Here is a 25,828-nt window from a genome sequence, read left to right as displayed (position 1 = left end):
GTTCAAGCAATTCTTCTGCCCCAGCCTCCCAAGTAGCTGAGATTACAGGTGCACACCACCACACCTGGCTAATTTTTGTATTTTTAGTAGAGATGGGGTTTCACCACGTTGCCCAGGCTGGTCTAGAACTTCTAGCTTCAAGTGATCTGCCTGCCTCTGCCTCCCAGAGTGCTAGGATTACAGGCGTGAGCCACCCCCTTGTGTGCTTTTCTGTCCACCCATCTGCCCCGCTTCTTGAGCGGTAGACTCTGTCTTAGTCAAGAAGCTCCCAGAGCCCCATGGTTGGAGTGGCCGCCTGGAGAGGACGTGCTGCCCCGGATACTCCACCAGCTTACGCCTCCTCCTGTGCTCCAGGAGGCCACCTGGGCCCACTTCTCCCTTCCAGCCTCTTCTCTCCCCGGGTCCCAAGGTGCACAAAGCGACTCTGACCCCCGGGGCTTCCCTGCCAGCCTTCCTGCCTCTGCTCCAGGCTTTGGGTTTCCTCTGGAGGTGTCGGGAACTGGGCCTAGGACCCCGACCCTTCAAGCCGAGGAGAGGCTGTGCCCCCACATGCTGGTTGGGGCAGCTGGGCCAGTGTAGCTGACTGCAGTGGGGAAAAGACGGTGCGCGGAGTGAGGACGCCATCAGCCCTTTTCCTCTAGCCTGGCCACACCATGGCAGAGAAGAGGGGGAAGTTAGACTCGCAGTCACCCACCCAGCACAGCCATGGAAACATGGAGGACGTGGGTGCTGGGAGCCGAGCATGCAGGGAGGAAGCCAGGGCTTGCAGTTTTCTTTGGGGCTGGCCCCTGCCCCTGCCCCTTTCTTCTCTTCCCTCTTGGGGTCGGCCAGGTCACTGACGCCCTGGTTCACATACGATCAGTCTCCCCACATCCCTGGCCCTGGCCAGTGTCCCGTTCACAGCTATGCCATCTCTGGGGGCTTCTCAGCCACCCCCTTGAGGAGCTCACAAGGATTTTCAGGTCTGCCCTCTGTGCCAGTGCCTGAGAGTCCTGGATGTGATTCCAGCTGGGAGAACCTTCCAGACTAGAATCCCAACATTTCATTCCCAGTGGGGCAGACACTCAGAGGAAGGGTGGAGCGATGACCCCATGGAGCCAGGGTCTAGCTGGAGGCTGTGTCCCTGAACCACCTGCTGGGGGCTCAGAAGGGGCAGGGCTGGCCCCCACCCCTGGGCAGGTGGTGGCTCTCAGGTACCTTACTGTTAGGAGCTGGGCTCTGAGTCAGACCCAGGCTTCAGCCTCCCACAGCAATGAGACCTTGGTCGAGTCATGTTACCTCTCTGAACTTGGGTTTTCTCAGTGGCAAAATAGGGTCAGTGGTGCCTCCATGGTGGGTGGTTGGGACCCCCCACCATTAGGGAGGACATTTGTACAGAAATTGTCAAGGGTGTATTAGGGACTCAGGGAGATAGGTATGAGGCTGCCGTCAGGGGCTCATCTTCTCTCTCTTCTCTCCTTACTTCATCAGAAGGGACTGGGGCAAAGGGATCTCTCTGAGTCGGCATCCATCTACCCACCATCCATCCATCCATCCATCCATCCATCCATCCATCCATCCATCCATCCGCTTCTCCATCCATCCATCCATCCATCAATCAATCCATCCATCTGTCCATCCATCCATCCATCCGTCCGTCCATCTATTCATCCATCCATCCATCCACCCACCCATTTACCATCTGTCCATCCGCCCCTCCATTCATCCATCCACCCCCAATTCATCCATCCACCCACCCACTTATCCATCCACCCACCCACTCACTTATCTATCCATCTGTCCATCCATCCATCCATCTGCCCACCCACCTACGTACCCACTTATCCATCCAGCCAGCCATCCATTCATCCACCCACTCATCTATCCATCCATCTGCCCACCCATCCATCTGCCCATCCATCCATCCATCTGTTCACCCACCCACTTATCCATCCATCCATCCACCCACCCACGCATTTATCCACCCATTCACCCACCCACTCATCTATCCACCTGTCTGCCCATCCATCCATCCATCTGTTCACCCACCCACCCACTTATCCATCCATCCATCCATCCATCTACCCACCCACCCACCCGTCTACCCATCTGCCCATCCATCCACTCATCCATCCATCCATCCACCCACCCACCCACGCACTCACCCATATCCATCCACCCACCCACCTACCCACTTATCCATCCATCTGCCCATCCCATCCACTCATCAATCTATCCATCCATCCACCCACCCACCCACTTATCCACCCACATACCCACTTATCCATCCATCTGTCCATCCACCCACCTGTCCACTCATCTGCTGATCCATCCGTCTGTTCACCCACCCACCCACTTATCCATCCACCCACCCACCGACTTATCCATCTATGTCATAGACAAGGAGCACCCACAGAGTGTAAGACACAAAGATTCGGGCTGCTGGTCCCCAAGGCTCAGGTGGTCTCTCAGACTCCTGCATTTGAAGGTGTTGATCCAGACCCACTGAGATGAGGAAGTATATATTTGGGTATCATTTTTACATCCTGTTGAAAGCTCCAGGAAGAGTGGGCCAATTCTGAGCTGTTCATTTACAGAGAAGTTGCTCTCACCTTTTTCTTTCCTTCTAAATGACTTTCGAGCCCTGATCTTCTTTGTAAGGACAACCAGACCCTCCTTTCATGCATTCCCCTTCAGAGTCGCTGCTAGTTGCCTGGCTCGAGTGAGTGGCATTTTTCATTTTGCCGCTCAGCTGTCTTGGGGCCTGGGGGCGGCTCCCACCTCTCTTCCTGCACTCTGCCGGCCCCCTAGAAGAAACTTCTGATATTGATGTTGGGCCCCACAGCCCTGCCATTGCCCAATGCACTGGCTGAGAAGTGCCTTTCCTGCTCGCTTTTGTTTTTCCAGCCTCCTCCTGGTGGCAAAACCTGAATGTGAAGCTGTGATTGCACATGTTTTGTAATTATCACTACTCGATGGTCGCTTGTCATTCTGAAGGCAAGTACCCCAAATTTTTCTGTCCGTGCTTTCCACAAGAAAAAAGAAAAAAAAATGAAGGATAACACAGGCTGAGTTAGAGAAAGTAATTTATAATGATTTGCTTCTGAATATGCAGCAATAGTAGCTGTAGATTTCCAAGGCAGATAGGTGAGTTTCCGGGGCAACATATTCAAATGAGTTTGATAATCTTGCCATTTGGCTCCGTTGGGCTGCGTGTGCGTGTGTGTTTCCAGATGTGTGGTAATGGCTGATAAGGAAGGTCTGCGGCTGGGGCCAGGTCTGTGCAGTTCCTGCTTACTGATTGCTAATGACAGTCGGAGGGTCGGGGCCAGAAAGCTCTTCTGATCGGCAGAGCCTCTGAGAGCAGGCTGGGTCGGCGGATGGCTCATCACATGGTCGCCAGTGTGGCTCAGGGCTCCAATTTCTTTTTAATTTTTACTTATTTTTGAGATAGGGTTTCACTGTGTCGCCCAGGCTGGAGTGCAGTGGCATGATTCTAGCTCACTGCAGCTTCGACCTCCTGGGCTTAAGTGATCCTCCCACCTCAGCCTCCCGAGTAGCCAGGACCACAGGTGCATGCCACCACATCTGGTTATTTTTTTTTTTTATTTTTTGTAGAGATAGAGTTTTGTTGTATTGCTCAGGCTGGCCTCAGACTCCTGGCTTCCAGCAATCCTCCCGTCTCAGCCTCCCAGAGTGCTGAGATTGCATGTGTGAGCCACTGCACCTGGCCTTAAAGACTTTGTTGTTGTCGTTGTTTAAGAGATGGGACTGGGTGTGGTGGCTCCTGCCTGTAATCCCGGCACTTTGGGAGGCCGAGGTGGGCGGATCACCTGAGGTTAGACTAGCCTGGCCAACATGCTGAAACCCCATCTCTACTAAAAATACAAGATTAGCCAGGTGTGGTAACACTTGCCTGTAATCCCCAGCTACTCAGGCGGCTGAGGCGGGAGAATCGCTTGAGCCCGGGAGGCAGAGGTTGCAGCGGGCGGAGATGGTGCCACTGCACTCCAGCCTGGGTGACAAGAATGAAACTCTGTCTCAAAAAAAAAAAAAAAGAATAAATAGATGGGGACTCACCATATTGCCGAGGCTGGTCTCGAACTCCTCATCTCAAGTGAGGCTGTAGCTGGGATTACAGGCATGAGCCACTGCACCCAGCTTGATTTCCCTTTGTAAGGCACACCTGCATCCACCTGGGTCATTGTTCTGGGTCACTATTGCCTGGCTTGAGTGTCTTGACTGAGGTTTGGCTGGAGGAACCACGTGCTCAGGTTCACATCCCAAGTAGCAGGGGAAGCTGTGGGGCTGCAGGGATAGGACGGGCCAGAGCGGCATTCCCAGGAGATGGCGGGACCCTTCAGGGGTTCTGAGTGTCTTCTAAAGTCATAACAAACATGCACGCTTCTGGCCCTGAGCCTAGTACTTTGCTCTGTTTTTGTTTCTTCATTCGAGCAAGTGGAGGATGGAGTGCAGCCATGAGTCCCTCCGTGGACCTTCTGATCGGGCACAGTCCCCTTTCCGCAAGCTGTGCGCGAGTCCCTGCTTTGGGCCAGGCTCCGTCTCATTCACCTACAGCCACACGGGTAGACACTGTTATCCCCATCTCACAGATGAGCCAACCGAGCCTCAGGGAGCCTCAGCACGGTGCCCGGGAAGGGCGGATTTGAACCCAGGGCAGTCTGGGCTCTTCCCCATTCGCAGAGCATCTCCTGGCCAGAACCAGAAGACTCATTTCTCTTCCTTCTCCCCACCGCGCCCCACCTCATGGGGATGCGGTGCCTGCTGTGCTGTGGGCAGGTTGCCCCTCGTGTTGCCACACAGACCCGAGCCCCGGGTAGCTCACAGCAGTTGGGTTGAGTCAGGACCCAACCGTTACTTCAGATCGAGAAGCATGGAGGGCAGCGAGGATTCCTGTGGCCACCTTGGGAAGTTTCCTCAAGATGAAGGGGACTTTTAAACATGGAACAAGACAGTTAACAATCATTGGAGAAGCCAGTGGCTCTCTCACTCCAAGTCTCCTGGTCTGTCTGTCCGAGGTGCACTTGGGGCCTTGGGTGGAGAACAGCCGGGACTCTTCCCGAGACCTCAGATCCCTGTCTGAGCAATTCCTGTAGGCGGTGTGGGAGGAGTGGCTCATTTCCATTGGTTCAGGAAACGATGCTGGAGGCTGCTGTGAGCCCAGCACTCAGCTGAGCCGGCGCCAGGTGGACCGCCCCACACTGGACCATTTCTCCTGGCAGTTGTTAGCATCCTCAGTCGTCCAGCTAGAGGACCATGGATGGGTCGCTGGATGCGACAGAGCCTTGCTCCTCCTGGGAGAAGGTGCATGTCCTTTCCAGCTCCAGGTGGCGAGAGCTGGGTGGGACATCTCAGGTCTAGCACTGCACAGGGCTTGCGGGGCACTGAAAGCCATTGGCTGCTGCTACTCTTGTCTTCACCTGGTGCATTGGGGTCTGTAGGTGGTGGCCAGGAGGGTGTGGCTGGCCCTGCCAGGGGGTCCTGGAAAGGGAGATTCCCTCCAGAGGCTCTAAGCAAAGCCAGTACTCCTGGAGGCTTGACGAGGGTCAGAGAGGGGCCTGCAGGGTGCCGGGGACTTGTGAGCCTTTTCAGAGCACGTGGCACCCTTCCCTAGGGCCCCAGGCGGCCCCACCATGGGGGCACTCAGTGGCTTCACTGGCTCAAGTGCAGGGTGATTGGGTCACTTTTTTGGCTTCCATCTCTCCAAGGCGCCAGAAAGAGAAAGCTAGAGTTGCGCACGCACCACCTGGCGAGATGGGCTTCCTGGAGGGAGGCCTGGTGGGCACTGGGTGTTGAGCCTTGATGCTGGCCTTGGCCTGCCCAGCTGCAGACCTGCTCTGAGGACCCTATGTGGACAGACGCCTGCCCCGGCTCTGCAGGGAGCGCCGGGACCCTCAGCAGACCCATGGCCGTGTCCTCACTCGGCACTCACGGGCGGTGTTGTGTCCCCTGCAGGGGCGTGTCCTCCTGCAGGCCCCAGCAGCCTTGTGACGAGACCTCTGTTAGGACCGTGTTTTACTGTTGAGGAAACAGGCTCAGGGAGGCTGAGAGTTTGCCCCAGCTCCGAGGGGGAGGCTGACATTCGAACCTGAACTTGTGCGGCCCGGAGTTCCCGCTTCCATGTCACTGCCCCACGCTGCCACCCTGTGACATGTGCTAAACAGACACCACCCCATCATCTGTCATCATAATGGCAAAATTGGCAGGCTCCTCTTTTTTTTTTTTTTTTTGAGACGGAGTCTTGCTCTGTTGCCCAGGTTGGAGTGCAGTGGTGCAATCTCGGCCCACTGGAACCTCCACGTCCTGGGTTCAAGCCATTCTCCTGCCTCAGCCTCCCAGGTAGCTGGAACTACAGGCATGTGCCACCACGCCCGGCTAATTTTTTTGTATTCCTAATAGAGATGGGGTTTCACCATGTTGGCCAGGCTGGTCTCAAACTCCTGACCTCGAGTGATCTGCCCACCTTGGTCTCCCAAAGTGCTGGGATTACAGGCGTGAGCCACCGCGCCTGGCCAGGCTCCTCTTTAAAATCATCGCAGCGCAGTTGCCCCCACACTGACTGATGTTGAGTAGGCGTGTCCTCACTCCCACCGATGGGCTGCAGGCTCATGGTGATTTGACGGCTGTTTTGCTTGGAGGTTCTTGTGAGTTCCTGCTCTGCAGAAGGCGTAGGGATTTCTACAAAACACAGTGGTCCAGTGAGCGTGGGCTCCTCCCCTCCCCCCAACACGTAGAATCCCTCTTTAAATGAAATAATGCAAACTAAAACATGATTACTAGGCTTAGAACTAGAAAGGGAAATCCTCAATTGTCAGAAACCAAGAGGGATGTCAAAGACAGAAAGAGGAGCCAGGCCAGCTTGGCTCCCCACCCACCCCCTGGGGGGCCTGGAACCAGGCCCACCCTAGGGCTTGGGCCCTAACAGCGGGGGTTGCATCATGGTGGAGGTGAGGGAGATGGAATGGAGGCAGTGCAGAGAGCTGAGCCAGGAAGGCTGAGAGAGCCATGGAATGGGGACCAGAGAGCTGTACCCTGGCACACAGAAGCAGCTGACCATCCCAGGCTGGGCAGGGAAACAGTCTCTGGCAGGATACACCCTGCTTTGGCACCAGGCATGGAGTGGGGCCTGAAAGCCAGGGGAAACCAGGAGAGCCCTCATAGTTATGTCTCTCAGAGCCTGGGGGCTCCCTCCACCCATGGAAAACAATTCCCACTGAGGATGCACTTACAGCATAGAACAATATATACGTGTGTTTATACACAATACATATAATCTGTGAATATATGTATGTTTACCAGACTAGCCAGCTGGTGCTCAAAAAGAAACAAATCAGCATGTGGGAGGGGGCTAGCAGATGCAGTCGATGAGAGAGAATTTCTATTCTCGGAAAAAAGGAACAGAATGCAAAAGAAAAGAAGAGAAAATGATGAGCAAACAAGCAAGACAAAAAGAACAGATGGAATTTGAGAAAAGAACTAAATAGAAATTCTCAAAATGAAAATTGAGATTGTTGAAATGAAAAACTCAGTATGTGTCTTAAACAGTAGTCTAGGTGGAGCCGAAGGGAGAATTAATGAATCAGAAGACAGAACCGAGGAAGTCACTAAGAATACAGCACAGAGGAATGAAGTTACAGGAGGTGTGAAAAAGAAGTGAGGCAGAAGATGCAGAGGGAAAGTGCAGAAGGGGCAGTGGAGACTGGGATGAGGTCACATGTGAATAGCTAGACATCTGGGTTCTTTCCAGAAGGCCATGCAAGATTGGGTGATTGTCCTACAGTGAATCCGCAGTCTACGTTTCCTTTTTCTTCCTGGCCCTGTCTTGAGTTTTGATTGTGGATGTTTAAGTTGCAAATACTGTGAGCACAGCACCTCTGTCCTCAGTTTGGAAACTTGGTGCAGTAAAGTAAAAATGCCGAAGTGTTTTTGCGGAAGGACCCATCACGTGGAGTTTTCGGTGCCTGGGCTCTGGGAGCACTGAGGCTTCCTATCCTCTGCTGAACCTGCAGCATAGAGCTTTGCATTTACAGTCACTGTGATCTAAAGGTTTCTCAGGTGGAGTTACAGCTGATGGGCCTACAACCTGAAGACATTGGAGATAAATCATTCAGCAAAGCCAACTTTGTTCCTACCCCGGAGGAGCTCACAGACCGCATGCCCTTTCCTGTGTCCTTCCTGAACCCTCTGCTTCCCTGTCCATTGTGGAGGGGCTTCAGGGACCCTGGCTCTGCGAGGAGTCCACAAGTGGACAATTGGGACGTGCTCCTGGCTTCCCGCAGGCTTTGACCCAGTCTGTGGCGTTACCCGTCTGGCCAGTCCTTAGGGGACAGAGGGCCCCAGCGGGCTGCATATCCAGCCACATGGGCCCTGAACTATAAATGCAGATTCCCAGGCCCCAGAGCCTGTGGGGTGGCGGGGGTAGGACCTAGGGTCTGTCTTTTAAAGTGCCGCCTTTAAAAGGTTGTGCTGTGGCTGTGTGGAGGCTGACGGGCTGCCGGTGTCTTGGAACCTGAGGTCAGAGCAGGCCATGGTTGGGTGGGGATGGAGCCAGGGCTGCCATCCAGGATCCAGACTCAACCACCACAGCCTGTCCTCTGAGCTCTCCAGTCCCCACCTCGTTCCTCAGTGAGTCTCACCAAGCGTGGCCTGGTGAGGCCTGGACGTTGGTGAATGGCACAGAGGCCTGAAGCTTTGGGAGCTGGCGGTGCAGGTGGGCTCCCCAGCATGCCTGGTCGTTTTGAGTGGCACATCATTCCTCTTGTCTTTCCTCCCTGTTCCTCGTCCCCAGCACACACACATTCCTTTCCTCCTGCCCCGCGGCTGTCTGCGGGAGAGGGAGGGAGGCAGGAAGGGAAATGCAGCTGTGCGTCTTCATTCGTTTGTTAACTGGGACTCGGAACAGACGAGGTAATAAAAGTAGGGAAAATGTCATCCTTTGACATTTGCGATATCGGAAGAGTCGGCTGGGGCTGTGGGCTAAGAGGTGTTTGATCATTGCCTGAGAGCCGGGCCCCTGGGGACACCCAGCTCTCTGTCTGTCCTGGGAGTGGGGTGGGCACAGCCAGAGGTGCCCTGGGGAGCTACTGTAGGGCATCCCTCCTCCTGCAGGGAGGTACTTCTGCTCCTAACCTTTCAGGCCAGTGGGTTTCACATGGGGCCGGCTTTGCCCCATCTGACCCCATGGCTATCTCAGGGGTCCGGTGTCTGCTCCAGCAGCCCCTGCCCTGGGTTTTGGGTCACTGGAGTGTGGTTCCCCGTGGTGGACTTCTGAGCTTCCCCCCATCCCCAGTGCCAGCTAGGAAGCCTGAAATTCAGGCCGATGGAGGGCCAGGGCTCCTCCAGCATAGCTGGCCATGCTGAACCCATGGAAGGGGCTGCCCCATCGATGCTGCAGGCCCTCCAGAGCCCTTCATCAGCTGCTCGTGACACGTTCATCCTGGGGCAAAGCGCCCCAAGCTTGGGGCTGAGGCTGCTGTGGTCATAGCAGCTGTAGAAATTGTCCACAGGGGCCACAGATGCATGGACGCAGGAGAACCATGTTCTGGCCTTGGCTGGCTCGCCCGCCACGCCTCCTCTCTGTCTCCGGTTCCATCTGTACGACCCGGTTCCATCTGTACGACCCGACCTGGGGCCTTTGCGCTGACTCCAGGTTGACAAACAGGTTCTTGTGTGTCAGCGCTGACCGAATGCTGGTGCCTCCTTAGACTCCACGGAGGAGGGCTCTGGGCCTGCGCCCGGCTCCTCGGAGGGATTGATCAGCCACGTCTGCCGCAGGAGGTGTGTGAGAGGGGGCTTGGGTGCCCTGTAGTTGCCAAACCCTTTGGGATCTAACATTCTTCCAAATAACTGTAAGGACGTACAGCAATATTGCTTTCATTTTTGTTTTCCCTAAATGCTTAGAGCTCTTAAAAGCCAAAAACACTCCAGAGCCAAGTTCCTCATTACTTGTGAAAGGCCCCTTGTAGCATCAGCATGGGAGTGCGGCTGGGCTGGCCGCATAATGGGCCCATCGAGTCTTGTGTGAGGAAGCACAGAAGGACCCTGTCCTTCCATGACCCCAGCTTCCCTGAGCGCCGGTCCCGAATCACGAGCACGTACAGGAAGGCAGCACTCAGCCGCCGCCTCCTTGGTCGAACCCGCCGTCTCTATGGTTCATTTTCTTTCCTCTTCCCCTTTTGAAAATTGCTGCTGGAAGCGGAACAGGCTGAAGGGAAGCCTGGGGAGTGCATCTGGCTGGGGAGCTTTGGGCAAGTGACCGATCCTCGGTTTTCCTGTCTAGCAAATGTGCAGCGCAGGATGGCCTCGTGGGGTTCCCTGGTGTGGTGTCCGGCACACAGAGCGCCCTCTGGGCTCCGTTCCTATGACGCCAGCACCCAGTGGAGGGTGTCTATGAATTCGGCACGTGGCCGTCGTGGGCCTTTTCTTGTTGCCCACCCCCAGACACACACGTACACACATGCACATACAGCTGCGCAGCCGTGCAGTGCACACAGACTTGTAGCACGCACAAGCAACATGCACACACGACCACACACGCGAGCTGTCACACACATGGACTCACAGATGTACTTGGTGCGATTTCAATGTCGAGGCCGCACCTGCCTCCTCAGGGACTGAGTCTGTCGCTCAGGAGCTCCATTCACCCCGTGAGTTGTGACAGCTTCCCGCCCATCTCATGTGTGTGACAACCTGTGCCCCTGGGCCAGCCAGCTCCCTGTCCCCCACCGCGGGTTCCCCGTATTCATCTGCAGAGCCTCTTGCTCTGTCTCCGGCCTGCTAGCCACCTGTCCCTTTGGAGATCTGTGGAGTGGCTGTGTTGGGCTTTCAATGCCAGGAGACAGGTGGGTCCTGCCTATCCAGAGGAGGCCCACATCACGGGGCAGGCCGGTTAGGGGGAGCAGAGGGAGGAGGAGCGGCTACTGCTTCTCACCAAACCTTCCTCTTGACCAGTCTGCCGGCCAGGGGAGACAAGGAGAGATCCCGTCATGCCACTGTGCACCTGGAGCTCTTGACCTTCTGCATCCCGAGCCCTCCATGGAGCCAGGCATCTGTTTAAATGTCATGCAAGGGAGGGCTTGAAGGGAAGCAAGCAGCACCCTGGGATATTTGCATGTGGGTGGTGCCCTGGCTGCTGGGTGACTTTGGGCAGGTCACTTGACCTCTCTGGGCTCCCATTTCCTCATCTCTGAAATGTGTTGGCACCTACTGTGAACACGAGCTGTACTTAGTAATATGGTACCTTGCAGAACAGCAGCATGGGATGAGTGAGCCCTTTAAAGGTGGCCTCGGTGAAGCCCTCTGGCAGCCCCTGACAAAACAGACCCTTTCTGGGTGAGAAGCAGCTTGGGAGTTGTTAGCAGCATGGCCACAGGAGCCGGGAGTGCAGCAGTGCCCCGCAAATACCAGCACATCCAAATGACAAGTTTTGCTCAGCAAATACAAAACAAGTGTCTAGCCTACAAAACGCTATGCCGTGTTTCTTACCCAGATGCGATGTGCTCAGTTAACAGTTCTCGACGTCCTGCAAAGCAGCGTCCCCAGTTCTGTGATGCCTTTCTGGTTTCTTGTGAAATTACAGGAGCGTCTCTTCTTGTCTCCCCCAGGTCATCTCCGCGGTGTCGAGGCTCTCCCTGCACAGCATCGCGCAGAACAAAGGGATCAGGTGAGCTCTCCGGAGTGCGCTGCCAAGGCCGGGTCCTTTCATCTCCATCGACACCAGCGTGCCTTGTCACAGATACTGGGGTTGGAAGCAGATGCCCTCTGCCTGTGTCTTTATCATGCATTTGCAGCGTGTTGTCGCGTAACCCGTTGGCGGCTGCAGGAAGGGGTGTGGGGGGCGGGAGGCTTCAGCTCACACCGGGGAAATCTTGCAAGCATGTTACTGACGGCTGCAAAATCTCTTTCGATTTAGGTAATAAGATCAGCAAATTAATCCTTTCACAGATCATTGCCTACCTAAATGCACTCTCCACACATCAGAACCGGGGGCTGTGCCGAGAATGAGGTAGCTGGGGTCTGTTTGCAGGGATGGCGCCGGAGCATGGTGGACTTGCCTGGCTTAGGGGCTGCAGGTCCCTGTGCAGGGCACTGGACAAGCCAAGCCAAGGAATTTCTCCACTCTCCGTTTATTCTGCTTGGACTGCAAAATTCAGCCTCAGAGGGTCCCATGACCCCTGTGATCTGGCCTCCTGCTTCTGACACTTGGATGGGGCACTTGGGCGTCTGTGAGAGGAGAGAACAGCCCCAGATGAGAACTGGTCACTGTGGATTCTGACCCACAGATTGAGGTCAGGGAGACCAGGTTCCTGATTGGGTGGGGACGTGTGTCTGGGAGACCCTTGGGAGGACAGGGGCCAGCAGGGTGAGAAGGAGAGGCTGGAATGGCAGAGAGAGCCTGGCCTGAGAGCAGCGAGGATGGGGTCACATCTGGGCACAGGTGACATCATGAGGGTGCCCTGACTTTGGGAAGGGGCCTTACCCTGATGTGATCCGTGGGGGATGCTGTGTATGACTACAGGCTGAGGGGTCCCAGGACGATGGTACTGGAGCTTTTGGGTGGCGCAGTTGCCCCTTGGTGGGGGCCATTTGCTCAGGTTCACAGAGGCACTGGGCAGGGGTAAATGTTCCTAAACCCACGGGGACTTCCGTTGTTGGATTCTCAGAGGACACAGAAATTCCTTTGAATTGAGGTTTTTAAAAAATGTGAAATATAGGATAGACTTTTTTTTTTTTTTGAGCTGGAGTCTCACTCTGTCACTCAGGCTGGAGTGCAGTGGCGCGATCTCGGCTCACTGCAACCTCCGTCTCCCGGGTTCACACCATTCTCCTGCCTCAGCCTCCTGAGTAGCTGGGATTACAGGCACGCACCACCACGCCCGGCTAATTTTTTGTATTTTCAGTAGAGAAAGGGTTTCACCATGTTAGCCAGGATGGTCTCGATCTCCTGAGCTGGTGATCTGCCCACCTCAGCCTCCCAAAGTGCTGGGATTACAGGTGTGAGCCACCTCGCCCGGCCATGGATAGACTCTTAAAATTAAATATTAAGCACATACAAAAGAATATTTAGAACACATTTGGGGCATAAAGAATAGCAGTCAAAACCCCGGTGCCCAGCACCCTGAGTACTTTCTAGAGGATAACTAATGCCTCTGAGGCCCCACCAGTCCCTCCGCCAGGTGCATAGGCTATTTTCCAGCTGGTGCAAAGTCTGTAATAGGCACCGTTTAAAACATGTTTAATTGTTTTTAAAAGTATCATTTCTGGATACAAAGACTATGTGTTTTTTGTTTGTTTTTGTTTCCAGAAATGATGGTTCCTTCTCCTTTCCACCAGCCCATGACAATACAGTACTGTCAGTGGCGTGGTTATACTCCCCAGCCTGTTTTTTTTTTGTTTTGTTTTGTTTTGTTTTTTTTACATATTAGGCAGGAAAGAGATTCATGCAACAAAAAATCAGTCATTTTAATTGCTCCTGCACAAAATACTAGACTTTTGATCTCTTCTCCAAATCCATTAGACATTCTTCCAAACTGGAGGCCTGGTGCCGCAGACCCCACGTCAGACGAGTGACCTGATTCTGTTCCTGGGGAGGCAATTGGCCCGGCTTGGCATTGGCGTGGTCCTGCCACAGGTGCCCACAGCCCTATCCCCTCTCCTGCCGCAGACAGTCCTTGATCACAGTCCTGGGTCCCAGCTGTGCCCGTGTCAGGCTCTCGATGCCGCTGCCCTCCTGAGGCTGAGGTGCCCCATCTGCAGCTCTGAGGGCCTGTTTCCCTTGGGGTTTACAGGTGGCAACGGGAGCCCATTGGTGGCTTCGGGGGTGGTGAGGACCATGGAAAGGGCTGGCCCTGCATCTGTCCTGCATGTGTGTCCTGCTGATTGATGAATGGGGAGGCCCTTTGAGGCCCGGGGTGGGCACCCTCCCTCCGGGCCACCCCCTCCGTCCCCCACGTCTCTGGCCCCTCCACCCAGCCAACCCAAGAGGATGCTGCTGGTGCTTCACGCTGCCGCTCCTCCCAGGATGGGCAGAGCAGTCGGTTGGCCCTGCTTGCTGGCCCTGGTCCTGGGGCTGGCAGATGTACAGGGAAACCTGCCCTCTTCCCTCTCAGGTCGGGGAACTGCCCAGGCAGCATGTGGGCACAGTGGCCCCCTGGACTGGGACTGTAGACCCCAGCCCTGAAGGCTGCCACCCCACAGGAGACCCGAGTGGAGGTGTGACGAGCCAGGGCTGCATGTCGGTGGACCCAGCTCTGAAGTCTGTGTCCTGCTTAGCTGTGGACCTCATGCCGGAGATGTCTCCCCGAGCCTCCCTTTTTACATCTGCAAGATGAGGATAAACACTGGGGGCGTCTCGGATTTATTGAGATGAGACCTGTAAATCCCAGGGCTCAGGGCTCGGCCCAGAGAAGGGCTCAGTAAACACACTCAGTGACAGTAGCAGGGTGTGTGTGGGGTCCCCAAGACCATCCTCAGGTTCTCAGATTCACCAGGAGAAGCCATTATGGTTGCAGAGAAAGATCTAGAGTCAAATCAACAAATGGAAAAGGCCCCGGGGTGGAGCCAGGATACATCGGGCGTGGGTTTCCATTTATCCCCTCCCCATAGAGCCTTCTGCATAGTGCTCAGTTCTCCCAGCAATGGTGTGTGACAGTCGGCATGTGTGGCAACAGCCACAGAACATTGCCACCCAAGCCCTGGAGTGCGGGTCCTCACTGGTGGCCGGTGGGGTTGGGCATGCCTGTGAGGCTGACCTTAGTTACTCCATCCCCAGCGCCTGCAGAGGCCACACTGATCCTGCATGCCCACAGCCCCACCATAAACCACATTGTGAGCATACGCTGCGTGGCCCAACGCCTCAGGTATACAAAGACGCTCTTATCCGGAGGGCCTATCTGGCAGACACTACGGGGCTTAGAGGTTAGAGGTCATCTCCTAGGAGCTGAGCAAGAGCCAGTCTTGTCTTCGGCATGTGGAGGGGTTGAGCACCCCAAGCCTGCTCAGTTACCCCTTTCTGCACACAGGATAGGCAGACATGAGAGACGAAGGGGAGGTGTTTGCAGGCCAAAGGGAAGGGCCTCCTGGGCGCAGAGCGAGGCTTTGCAGGAAGACCTCTGCAGGCCCTCCTCCCCGGGGCCTGGCTTTCCTGCCCTTCTCCTCCACCCTCCCTCCTCTGAGCCCCACTCTGGGACTTTTCCTGGGTCCTTTCCCTCTGCAGCCCTTGGGGTTGAGCGCAGACCTCCACTGGTTCACACGCTCACCCGGGAGCTCAGGAGACAGGTGACAGGCAACCCTCCCAGGCAGCCCCACTTGGTGGCTGCGTCTGAGCAATGTCCCACCTTGCTCCGGATGGGCTGGGATTTCCATGGGGAATTGAACCTTCTGGGGGCAGCCACCAGCACTTCACAAGACACTATTTCATTTCGAGCGTTTTGTAGTGTTAGTGATTAGCAAAAGGTTCTAGTTTAACACAACCCTTTCCTTCTTGAAAACCCACAAGCCAAGCCCACAGCCCTGAAGAATCTCTCCCTCATTTCATGGCTGGGTAGGAGCCCAACGTGCTCCTTCAAAAAATCATTTTCACAACCCTTGCACTTTGCATAATGAGCTGATTTTCCATAAAAGCCCCAATTATACTTCTCAGAGGCTGATGAATTGGAGACTTAATCTAAGAATCCCGCCCTGGTGCCGGCTGGGGGATCAAACGTGTTGGGGAAGCGGGGCAAGGGGGAGGATTGTGGTTGTAGAGTGGGAGAGGGGTTTGTGGAAGGCACCCAGCGAGGCGTGTGGGGATGTGGGTCTTGCTGTGGCCAGAGCTAGCCCTCCAGATTGGGGGTGCCCTAATTTGGGGTCATCACAGCTCTGAACGGCTGGGAGGGAGGAGATGGTGAAGGGTAGGACTTCCTGAGAAGGAAACCGAAAGGTGTCCTCAGGCTGGGAGGTCAGGTCCCATGAAGGAAGCTTCTGTCAGCCAAATGACCTTGGGCAGGGATGCTCTTGGAACCTTTGTCTCTTCTGTAGGCTGGGAGCATGACTCTGCCTCGCGGGGTTGCTCTGTGTCTGTGCATCGTGCAGCGCAGCACCTGGTCCTTGTGGAAGGCCCGCGGCTGCTAGGTGGATGTCCTAACCCCCAAACCCTGAGAGTGTGACGAGGAAAAGGGTTTTCGCAGATGTAAATACACATAATTTTAAGAGGGACGCAGGAAGGTCAGAGTCAGAAAAAGGAGATGTGACGGCAGAGTTAGAGCGATGGGGCTGTGGGCCCAGGAATGCAGGCAGCTTCGGAAGCTGGAAAAGGTAAGGGACAAATTCTCCCCGGCACCTCCTGAAAGGGACCAGCCCCTCGATACCTTGACGCCAGCCCCTAAGACCCGCTTCAGACTTCTGACCCCCTGAACTGTAAGAGTCTGTGTTGCTTGAAGCCACCAACTCTCCAACTCTCTGGTGACCTGTTAGAGCAGGAGCAGAGCCCCCTGGATTGGCTGGGAGGCTGTCTGAAGGCCCAGCTATGTGGCGTGTCTGGGCACATATCAGCATGGGGTCCCAGTGGGGGGCACATACCAGCATGGGGTCCCGGTGGGGGGCACATACCAGCATGGGGTCCCGGTGGGGGGCACATACCAGCATGGGGACCCGGTTGGGGCTCAACCCTGGCTCCTCACTGGGCTGGGCTCCTGGCTTTGATTGTCTCATCCTGGCCCAGCCCTGCCACCCTCTCTTCTGCTTTCTGACTTGTAAAAATTGAAATACATTCATATCACATAAATGTAACCCTTGTAAAGTACGCAATTCAGTGGCATTTAGTACTTTCACCATGTTGTGCAACCACCACCTCTATCTGCTTTCACAACATCTTCACACCCCAGGAAGAAACCGGTCGCCATGAGCAGTCACCGCCCTCCCCAGCCTCAGGCAGCCCCCAGCCTGCTTTCTGTTTGCCTGTTCTGGATGTTTCATGTCCATGGAATCATACGGTGCGTGCCTTTCGCACGTGGCTTCTCCCACCCCGCATCTTGTTTTCAAGGTTCACCCAGCCGTAGCCGGTCATTGCGTCATTCCTCTTTATGGCCGTGGAACATTCCAGTGTGTGGCTAGGCCATATTTTGCGTATCCGTTTATCACGTGATGAACTCTGGCCTGTTTCCACCTTTTGGCTCCTGTGACTAGCATTGCTGTGACGGCTGCAAGGCAGGGGACAGGGGTCAGGCTGAGGTTGGAGTGAGAGAAATGGAAGTAAGCTGGAACTTCCTGCTTCAATTTGAAGTGAATTCTCAGAATATCAGACATACCCGTATTGAATCTAAGCACGACAAAGCATTAGGAACTGGAAGCAGTGACCTCGCATTTCCTTATGGCTTCAAGGACCCACCTTTTGGTCTTCCCATGTGCGGGGGGAGCTGGTGGCGGGTGGCAGGCTTTATCCCGGAGCACTGGGCAACGAGACCTAAGATGCGGCTCGTGCAGGGAGAGGCCGGGTGCCCTCCCGGGATACGGAGGCAGCTTGCAGAGACAGCCTCTTGCTGAGTTCTTTCCTTTTAGCCTCTGCTCCTGCAGTGGCCGGGAGAGCACTGGAACCCCGTGCCTTGCTGGCTGGCCCTGATAATGAGAAAGTCTGTTTGTGCAGTGGTGAGGGCTGCGTCCTTGACTTCCACTCCCAAACCTGGTTTTGCCTTCCCAAATCACCTACAAGGTACCAAATACCTCTCATGTGAGACATCTCAGCCGGAGGCTCCGTGAATGGGCCTTGGCAGACTCTGCAGTTCCCACACCTCCGTGAACGAATGTGCTATCCTCTCTGCACACTGTGAGCCAAGGTGAAGGGTCCGCACGCCAACACCTTGTCCTGCCCCACGAGTCCCGGCCTCTTCTCCCCTGAGTCTTTGCTGTGTTTGAAGACATTGCTGTGGCTCCTGTAGCCTTCTCTCTTGGGCACAGCATCCCCTGCTCTCTCCACTCTCTTCCATCCGGGCTGGTGTCCCTTTTTCTTCCATCTGGGCTGGTGTCCCTTTTCCCATCTGGTGTTGCCTGCTTAATTCCAGGTAATTGGGCTGAGAGGAGATGGGGACGGAAGGTGGCAGTCATTATATGCTTAGCAGCTCATCCCGCCAGCAAGATGGGTTTAATTGTCCCACCTGGTGACATCAAACATCCTGGCCACCTGTCCTCAGTGGGTCTGCTGTGAGGGGACAGGATGACATGTGAGTCCCTGGGCCAGCCTAATTGGAGAGTCTTTTTTTTCCTTTTCTTTCCTTTCGTTACAATAATGGATTCAACCTCCTCTGCATAGGGAGTGGGAGGGGAGTAATTGGAAGACATTAAACTCCTTCCTGGGGAGGGGAGGTCAGAAGAGGCCACCTTTGGATTGCTGGGCTTTGAGGCTGGGGTCTGGCCCCCTCCAGCCTGCTTCTGGTCACAGCGGCCAGCTCTCTGAAGGGTAGGCTCGAGTCACCAGCTGGCTTGCTCCATCAGTCTGGCACCTCTTCCACACCCCAGGCCTCTGTTGCCCTGGTCAGTAGCACAAGCCAAGGGCAACTCAGTGAGGAGTAGCAGTGGGCAGCCCCAGTTCTCTGGCCTGGCATGGTCACTGCCTCATTCGCACCACTGCTCCTCTTTTGCATTCGTCCAGCCATGGCTGGGGCCTCCAAGTTTAGGCAGAACAAACTGTGTTAGATGGTGCGTGTGTATGGGTGTGCGCGTGTGTGTATGTACATGTGCACATGGGGGTGTGTGTGCAGGTGCACATGGGTGTGTGTGTGTGCATATGGGTATGTGCGTGTGTGTGTGCAGATGAGTGCATGTATGTGTGCAGGTGCACATGGGTGTGTGTGTGCATTGCAGATTTGTGTGTGTGCAGGTACATGGGGTGTGTGTGCATATGCAGATGTGTGTGTGCAGGTGCAAGGGGTGTGTGTGTGCAGGTGCAAGGGGTATGTGTGTGCATGTGCAGATGGGGGTGTATGTGCAGGTGTGCAGGTTCATGGAGTGTGTGTGTATGTGCAGATGGGTGTGTGTGTGTGCACACGTGTGTGTATATATGCTCATGTGCCCACACCCATCTCTGCACTGGGAGCTCCCGGCAGGCCTGGATCTTGCTCATTCTGTATCCCAGTATCTCCCACAGTTGAGTCTGAATGTAGGGATCATGCCAGCGGGAGCAGCAGGCACCCAGAGTGTTTTGGATCCTCCCTGGGGCTTGGTTGCAGGTTCTCAAGGGCTGGTGCTCCTCATGGTGAGGACAGGTGAAGGGAGGGTGCTCGGCTGTCCTGTCTGGGCAGTGTTGGCATGGGGAGGGAGAGCCCAGGGCACTCAGGCCTGGCTTGGTTTCTTTTGGTTTAGGGATGCCAATGCTGATGTGGCAGCCAAGGCTAGTGACAGAGCTGGCCCTGGGTGGGGAAGCGCTTTGGTGCAGCAAAGGGGGGCGGCATGTGTGGGTTGGCTGTAGTGCAGGGTGATGCAGACTCCGCTTGGCCGTTCCCTGCCCCGCTCTAGCCTTTTGGGTGCTTGTCAGATGGAACCTGCCACACCTGTGGGAGTTGCCACTGGTGGGTGGGACTCATGGTGCAGAGAGGGGACAAGCAAGCGTCAGCAGAGGCCGCTGGGGCAGGGCCTCCCCAGTGCCTGAGGGATTCCTTTTCCATGCACTAGACCTGGCCTAGTGTCCAGTGCTGCTGCTCAGCCTGGGGGCAGCTCTGTACCAAGCCTTCCACCCTCTCTTGGCCGAGGACCCTCTCCCCATGCTTGCTGACTGGAGACCCACACTTGGGAAGGAATGAGTGGCCCTGGGGTAGAGGGAGGCCACATCTGCAGGGGCAGCAGAACACTGACCTTTGCTGTGCTAAAGCCACAACCTGGCCCACTGGCCACCAGGAGTGTGCACCTGGCCCCACGGAGAAGGCTTTGAACCTCTTCCTGCTGTCCTGGGCCTGCCACGGCTTTTACCTGACAGCCGAGTGGCTGGCGGCTGGAATCCAGTCTTGCCACCTCCTAGACCTGGGATGTCGTCTGTGAATAGGGTGACTATGGCATCTTGTGTGTGGGGTTTTCATAAGGACTGAGTGAGAGAATCGGGTGACTCTCTGGGCCTGGCACACGGGAAGTGCATGGTGCACATTGGCCAGTGCAACCTGGGGTGAGTCTATGTGTAGCACAGAAATGGCAGGGGGGGCCCAATGGGTCAGCAGGGGCTGTGCCCCCACCCTGCACCCCTAGCCGAGTGGCAGGGCTAGGGAACACTGGTGTGTCCTCTTTGCGGCTGCCACCATGAGGATGATGGTGTAAAGGAGACACATTTGTTCAGAAATACAGTAACTGGCTGTTTACTGCGTGGCTGGTGTAGATGAGCTCCCTCTTGCTGGAGACGGTCAGGAGAAGCAGGGCTGGCAGCCTGGCAGGGGGGCGTGAACAGCCAGCCTGAGCTTCTGCAGTGGGGCAGGGATCTGCCTGTGTCTGTCTTTAAAAGACAAAATGCAGCTGAGTTTCTCTCTTTGCTCCACTCCCGGATCATCACAGCCATTGTCAGATGAACTTGCTGAGCTGCCAATTTGCCCACTGAGAATACTTCTCTGGCTCATCTAATGGATTTTATTATTGCTTTTCTCCTCTCACTCCCTCCTTCCCATCCCCGCACTCCCCCCACCCTTCTGCTCTGCCTTCTTTCCTTCCTTCTTTTTATTCTTCTGTCTACTCACTTATCTACCCATCTACCATTCATTCATCATCTATCCACGTATATATCTACCCATCTGCCTGTCCATTCTTTCATCCTTCCACCCATCCAGGTACCCTACAACCCATCCACGCACCCACCAAGCCACCCATCTCCCTGTCTATTCATCAGTCTGTCCATCCGTCCCCTCATCGCTACATCTACCCACCCACCCATCATTCAAGCACCCTACAACCCATCAAGCCACCCATCCACCCATCCATTCTTCAGTTTGTCCATCTGTCCACTCATCAGCCCGTCTGTCACTCATTTATCCATCCATCCATACATCCATCCATCCATACATCCTTCCACCACACATCCATCCATCCATGTATCCATCTGTCCATCCATTCATCCATCCTTCCATCCATACATCCATGTATCCATCCATCCATCCATCCATCCATCCATCCATCCATCCACCCATCCATCCATCCATCCATGCATCCATCCATTTATTCACCCACCTATCCATCCATCCATCCACCCATTTGTGCATCCATCCATCCATCCATCCATCCATCCATCCATTTATTCACCCATCCATTTATTTACCCACCCATCCATGCATCCACCCAATATACCCATCCACCCATTCATTCACCCATCTATTCATCCATTCATTTATCCACTCATCCATCCATCCATCCATCCATCCATCCATCCACCCTTCTGTCCATTTCGCTCTGCCCTATTTCACATGAATATAACGCGATTGGTCTCAGTGTGGTACTCTAGAATCATTAAGGCTGCAACCTCTGTTGTGAGGTTAGGACCCATCTGCTCCCAGGCACATAGTAGGCACAGAACAATATGATGTGGGTGGATGAATGAGCTGACTTGGTTCACTCGGGTGCTGATGAGATGCTGGATCAATTTCTTACACCCTGAACCTCAGTGTCCTCACCGGCCCTTTGGAGTTACTGGATTGTTATGAGGATTCAAAAGATGATGTCTGTAAAGTTCTCAGTATAGTGCCTGGCACACAGTGGGTCCAAAAGCTGAGAGTCAGGAGGAGGAGGAGGAGCTGCCACTCTGTGCCTCAGGTTCCTCCTCTGCAAATGGGGATCTCCCGGCACCCACCTGGAAGGCTGCAAGGGTTAAAGGAGGTCGTGTGACCAGACTTTCCATGCGACACATGGCTGCAAAGTTGTCTCCTGAGTGCGTGGTGGAGGCCATGTGGCACCATCTGCAGCGGAACTCAGGAATCCCCTAAAGCCCGCAGAGCCCCAGGGGCATGACTGTCCATGAAAGTGGTTTTAGAAGATGCTGGAGAAAAATGTGCCTCAGCAGTTGTGTGTCTGCTCCAGTTTTCAGCTCCAGAGCATCACACCTGCCCTAGGCCTACTCGGGCAGCTCAGATGCCTGGAATTTGGGCTTGTTCTTCATGGCACCATGATGGGGGAGGACATCCTAGGTGTGCCAGTCGACAGCAGGGTGGTACCCTGCCCACCATTGGCTGATCCTCGTGGACAAATGTCACTTGTGTCAAGATGAGAGAACCCTCTGTTTGAGGAAGAGCCTGAGGGTGTGAGCTTCCTCCTGGGCTGAGGCACATCAGGGCAGTGAGATGGGAAGACAAAGGGATTCAGGGCAAGTCCTGGGACCTGGCAGGTGTCTCCAGGTGACCCCAGTGGGCTCACGGGGCCCTGCTGGCTCACATTTCAGAGGCTGTGTTCAGCTCCTAGAGCCTGGCACATTCATACCAGAAGGATCTTTCATTCCCTCCCGTTACAGATGGGGAAACTGAGGCCCAGAAAGCATCACTTTCCTGAGGTCTCATGATGTTGATACTCAGCCCAAGGAGTCCATAGCCGTCCATTTGTTTCTTTATTTGTTTGTTCCCTCATTCCCTCATTCGTTCCTCATTCTATTGGTGCCTTGTTCTGCTGGGCCCGGGGCCAGGTGCTGGGACATAGCAGGAGCTGGCCAGCCTTGGGATGTGCCTGGTCATGTGGGGAGTGGACACCGGGCCACTGGTCACGTGCAGGTGAACACACTGCAGCTGTACCTGGGTCAGGGCAGAGCAGGGTAGGGCGTGGTGGGTCCCAGACCCGGAGGCTCAGGGTTAAGGGCCTGGCCTGAGGTTGAGAGACTTGGGTTCGAGGCCCGGCTGGGATCCTTGCTCCTGGTGTGACCCTCACCAGGTTCCTTAGCCCTGAGCTTGTTCCCTCATCTACAAATGGAGGCCCATGTGGGCCTGATGGGCAGAGCTGGTGGTGAGGGACCCAACCAGTGAGGCACAGCCGCAAGAGGTGGTTCTCAAAGTAAGGCCTGAGGACCATGCATCCGGGTCCCCTGGCTTTCCATCTAGATCCCAGACAAGCCTGAGAGAAGGGGGTGTATGGGGTGAATGGTGTTCCCCAAAAGCTGTATCCCTCCGAACTTGTGAATGGGACTGTATTGGATAAAGGAGTCTTTGCAAATGTAATTAAAGTAGGGTCCTCTAGATGAGATCATCCTGAATTACCTGGTTGGGCCCTAAATCCAATGACAAGTGTCCTTATAAGAACCACGCAGAGGAGAGACACAGGGAGAAGAGGAGAGGATCGTGTGAAGAGGGAGGCAGAGGTTAGAATGATGTAGCCATAAGCCAGGAAACACATGGAGCCCACCTGAGCTGGAAGAGGCAGGAAGGACCCTCCCCCAGTGCCTCCAGAGGGAGCACAGCTCTGCAGCACCTGGATCTCAGGCTTCTGGCCTCCAGAACTGGGAGAACTGGAGAGAAGAAATTTCTGTTGTTTTAAGCCCCCATTCGATGGTGCTTGGTTACGCAGCCCCAGGACACAAACACAGCAGGGACATGGGTTTCACTTCACAGCCAGCTCTGGGACGCAGGGTCCAGGAGGGGGTCCCTCAGCCACGCCTCCTCAGCCTAGCCTGCCTGTGGGGTGGAGGCCTGCACTCCCTGGAGGCCGGACCAGCATCCTCACGAGCCCTAACCAGTGCTTCTTAACGTAGCCCTGGCATCCACGAGAACTCCCGGCCCAGGAGGAGGCCCGCAGCTGGTGGGGGAGGTTTGGGGTTCAAGGACACCCCTCCAGGTAGCAGGGATGAGGGGTGAGCCTTCGGGGTCAGTGGCCTCCTCCTTCCCAGTGCCCTGTCCCAAGTATAATAGCATGGTGCGTTCGGGGCGGGAGGAATGTCCCGTGCCTGCTCATTGGCATGAGGTGAAGCCCTTTCCAACTCCTGTCCTTCCCTTTAGGGAGCGAAGATGGTTTTACTCTGTAACAAGCAAAACAAACCAAGGCCGCCTCTTCAGCAACTGTCAGCATTAAAAATGTATCTGCGCAGCTGGGTAACATTATCGGCTCATTTTCAGAGACTGAGAAGAAAAGACACATCATGTTTTGTGGTGGGATTTATACATAAGCAGATGAGACGTGAGATCATTAAGAATGTCCCGGAACAGAAGATGACGTCTTGGCATGGTGGTGTCTTGGGGGACTGTGGTCATACATTCAGGTTGTGGTGGAAACAAACCCAAACACGGGCCTGGGTGACTGCACAGCCGGTGCCAGGCTGCCATGGGATGGGCTGCCAGGAGTTCAGGGGAGCCTGAACGACGCAGGAGCCTGCCTGGGCCCAGAGCTGTCTGCCTCACCCCCAGCCCATGGCTTTCTTTCCCCAAAGATGCCCGGCTCCACGTGAGGCATGTTCCCAGGGGCCCGTGCCTGCCAGCACATGGCCTGGTTTTGAAGGCAGCGCTTAGCGGCGTTTCGACAAGAGAGGAAGGAACCCTGGGATCGGCCATCTGGTGCCCTTGCTGGTTGCTTTCTCCAGCCTTTTGTTCCGCTCTTTCCCTATTATCTTTATTGATGCATTAATTTAACTTGTAATTACTTTGAACACTCACAAGCTGGCCAGTCAACCCAAGAACAAGAAACTTGGAAGTTTCTAACTCTTAGGACACAAAGGAGCTGCGTCTACTCCAGCGCCTGCCAGGAAGTAACCACCATCCTAAATTTGGGGTTTACCCTTTTATCAAAATTCAAATACTGTTTCGTTTCATCTTCATTGCTTTGGATTTTTTTTTTTTTTTTTTTTTTTTTGAGACGGAGTCTCACTCAGTCGCCCAGGCTGGAGTGCAATGGCGCGATCTCGGCTCACTGCAAGCTCCGCCTCCTGGGTTCACGCCATTCTCCTGCCTCAGCCTCCCGAGTAGCTGGAACTACAGGCGCCCGCCACTACACCCAGCTGATTTTTTTTTGTATTTTTAGTAGAGACGGGGTTTCACCGTGGTAGCCAGGATGGTCTCGATCTCCTGACCTCGTGATCCGCCCGTCTCGGCCTCCCAAAGTGCTGGGATTACAGGCGTGAGCTACCGCGTCTGGCCCATTGTTTTGGATCTTTACATGAGGAGACCCATTGCTGTTGAAGTGGACTCTTGGACTTGCTTCTTTCCCTCCCTGTTAGTGATCAGCACGGTTTTTGGCAAGCCACTCTGTGTCCCATCTGTCACTGTGGCCCTTCTGGAGCTGCCCCGTCCACCCACCATCATAGCAGCCACGACCAGGCGTGCACAGGGCTGAGCACCTCCCAGGCGTCAGCTCATTAAATGTTCCCCTTGATCCTGGGAGTCAGAGATTTTCGCCCCCATTTTGCAGAGGAGGAAGTTGAGGCTCAGAGAGGTCACCTGTAGCCCAGGGCCAACCCGTTGGGCAGCGTGGGGCTGGAACTTTATCTGACGTCCTCAAGTGGGGTCTGCCTGGGAGTCAGGGGGCCAGGGTTCCGGGCCCAGTATTCATCTAGGCATGGAGCCCCTGGCCCAGGGTGTCCGGGCTCTTCCCGTTCGGTTCTTGGTAGGACTGGCCTCTGACAGCTGAGAAAACCAGCCTCATGCGTCATCTGCTGACCCTGGGGACAGGAGAGGCTCCACTGCCCCTTTAGGGTTGCTGGTGGGGAGACTGAGGCAGGCCTCAACCCCTGTCCAGCACCGAGGTTTCAGCCCTCCCGGAGGTGGGGCTGCTCACGCTGAGGCGCGGTGCAAGGTCCCGGCTAGGGTTGGTGGCTGCGGGGTCCTGGGTTTTCTGCTATTTGGAGAATTTTGTTCTTGGATCCTCCCTTCCCTGAGCACCCACTTGGTGGGAGGGGGCAGCTGCAGGATGGGAACCCTGCACGTCG

General features: G+C 55.2%; 1 protein-coding gene across 9 annotated transcripts in view, besides 11 other annotated features; it reads left to right on the top strand.

Annotated features, from left to right (window-relative positions):
- Positions 1–25,828, top strand: part of VAV2 (vav guanine nucleotide exchange factor 2) — a 230,431-nt gene that overhangs the window by 119,289 nt on the left and 85,314 nt on the right. For all 9 annotated transcript variants that reach the window (NM_003371.4, NM_001411028.1, XM_017015109.2 and 6 more), the window contains exon 3: positions 11,604–11,662. In NM_003371.4, coding sequence (NP_003362.2) covers positions 11,604–11,662 — 59 coding nt within the window. The remainder of the gene's footprint in view (positions 1–11,603; positions 11,663–25,828) is intronic.
- Positions 85–585: an enhancer, noted in NCBI's record as "H3K4me1 hESC enhancer chr9:136737573-136738073 (GRCh37/hg19 assembly coordinates)". NCBI's record gives its function as "activates a minimal SCP1, AML or CMV promoter by ChIP-STARR-seq in primed H9 embryonic stem cells {active_cell/tissue: H9 hESC(primed)}" and the evidence as "EXISTENCE:reporter gene assay evidence [ECO:0000049][PMID:30033119]".
- Positions 586–1,086: an enhancer, noted in NCBI's record as "H3K4me1 hESC enhancer chr9:136737072-136737572 (GRCh37/hg19 assembly coordinates)". NCBI's record gives its function as "activates a minimal SCP1, AML or CMV promoter by ChIP-STARR-seq in primed H9 embryonic stem cells {active_cell/tissue: H9 hESC(primed)}" and the evidence as "EXISTENCE:reporter gene assay evidence [ECO:0000049][PMID:30033119]".
- Positions 4,792–5,615: an enhancer, noted in NCBI's record as "H3K4me1 hESC enhancer chr9:136732543-136733366 (GRCh37/hg19 assembly coordinates)". NCBI's record gives its function as "activates a minimal SCP1, AML or CMV promoter by ChIP-STARR-seq in primed H9 embryonic stem cells {active_cell/tissue: H9 hESC(primed)}" and the evidence as "EXISTENCE:reporter gene assay evidence [ECO:0000049][PMID:30033119]".
- Positions 9,610–10,432: an enhancer, noted in NCBI's record as "H3K4me1 hESC enhancer chr9:136727726-136728548 (GRCh37/hg19 assembly coordinates)". NCBI's record gives its function as "activates a minimal SCP1, AML or CMV promoter by ChIP-STARR-seq in naive H9 embryonic stem cells {active_cell/tissue: H9 hESC(naive)}" and the evidence as "EXISTENCE:reporter gene assay evidence [ECO:0000049][PMID:30033119]".
- Positions 10,433–11,256: an enhancer, noted in NCBI's record as "H3K4me1 hESC enhancer chr9:136726902-136727725 (GRCh37/hg19 assembly coordinates)". NCBI's record gives its function as "activates a minimal SCP1, AML or CMV promoter by ChIP-STARR-seq in naive H9 embryonic stem cells {active_cell/tissue: H9 hESC(naive)}" and the evidence as "EXISTENCE:reporter gene assay evidence [ECO:0000049][PMID:30033119]".
- Positions 14,687–15,538: an enhancer, noted in NCBI's record as "H3K27ac-H3K4me1 hESC enhancer chr9:136722620-136723471 (GRCh37/hg19 assembly coordinates)". NCBI's record gives its function as "activates a minimal SCP1, AML or CMV promoter by ChIP-STARR-seq in primed H9 embryonic stem cells {active_cell/tissue: H9 hESC(primed)}" and the evidence as "EXISTENCE:reporter gene assay evidence [ECO:0000049][PMID:30033119]".
- Positions 18,119–18,619: an enhancer, noted in NCBI's record as "H3K4me1 hESC enhancer chr9:136719539-136720039 (GRCh37/hg19 assembly coordinates)". NCBI's record gives its function as "activates a minimal SCP1, AML or CMV promoter by ChIP-STARR-seq in primed H9 embryonic stem cells {active_cell/tissue: H9 hESC(primed)}" and the evidence as "EXISTENCE:reporter gene assay evidence [ECO:0000049][PMID:30033119]".
- Positions 18,620–19,120: an enhancer, noted in NCBI's record as "H3K4me1 hESC enhancer chr9:136719038-136719538 (GRCh37/hg19 assembly coordinates)". NCBI's record gives its function as "activates a minimal SCP1, AML or CMV promoter by ChIP-STARR-seq in primed H9 embryonic stem cells {active_cell/tissue: H9 hESC(primed)}" and the evidence as "EXISTENCE:reporter gene assay evidence [ECO:0000049][PMID:30033119]".
- Positions 19,850–20,379: an enhancer, noted in NCBI's record as "H3K4me1 hESC enhancer chr9:136717779-136718308 (GRCh37/hg19 assembly coordinates)". NCBI's record gives its function as "activates a minimal SCP1, AML or CMV promoter by ChIP-STARR-seq in naive H9 embryonic stem cells {active_cell/tissue: H9 hESC(naive)}" and the evidence as "EXISTENCE:reporter gene assay evidence [ECO:0000049][PMID:30033119]".
- Positions 22,159–23,140: an enhancer, noted in NCBI's record as "H3K4me1 hESC enhancer chr9:136715018-136715999 (GRCh37/hg19 assembly coordinates)". NCBI's record gives its function as "activates a minimal SCP1, AML or CMV promoter by ChIP-STARR-seq in primed H9 embryonic stem cells {active_cell/tissue: H9 hESC(primed)}" and the evidence as "EXISTENCE:reporter gene assay evidence [ECO:0000049][PMID:30033119]".
- Positions 23,141–24,123: an enhancer, noted in NCBI's record as "H3K4me1 hESC enhancer chr9:136714035-136715017 (GRCh37/hg19 assembly coordinates)". NCBI's record gives its function as "activates a minimal SCP1, AML or CMV promoter by ChIP-STARR-seq in naive H9 embryonic stem cells {active_cell/tissue: H9 hESC(naive)}" and the evidence as "EXISTENCE:reporter gene assay evidence [ECO:0000049][PMID:30033119]".

Source organism: Homo sapiens, chromosome 9, assembly GCF_000001405.40.
Source record: "Homo sapiens chromosome 9, GRCh38.p14 Primary Assembly".
Classification (NCBI taxonomy): domain Eukaryota; kingdom Metazoa; phylum Chordata; class Mammalia; order Primates; family Hominidae; genus Homo; species Homo sapiens.
The sequence above is the reverse complement of the archived record's forward strand: the minus strand, read 5'-3'. Positions and strand labels throughout refer to the sequence as shown.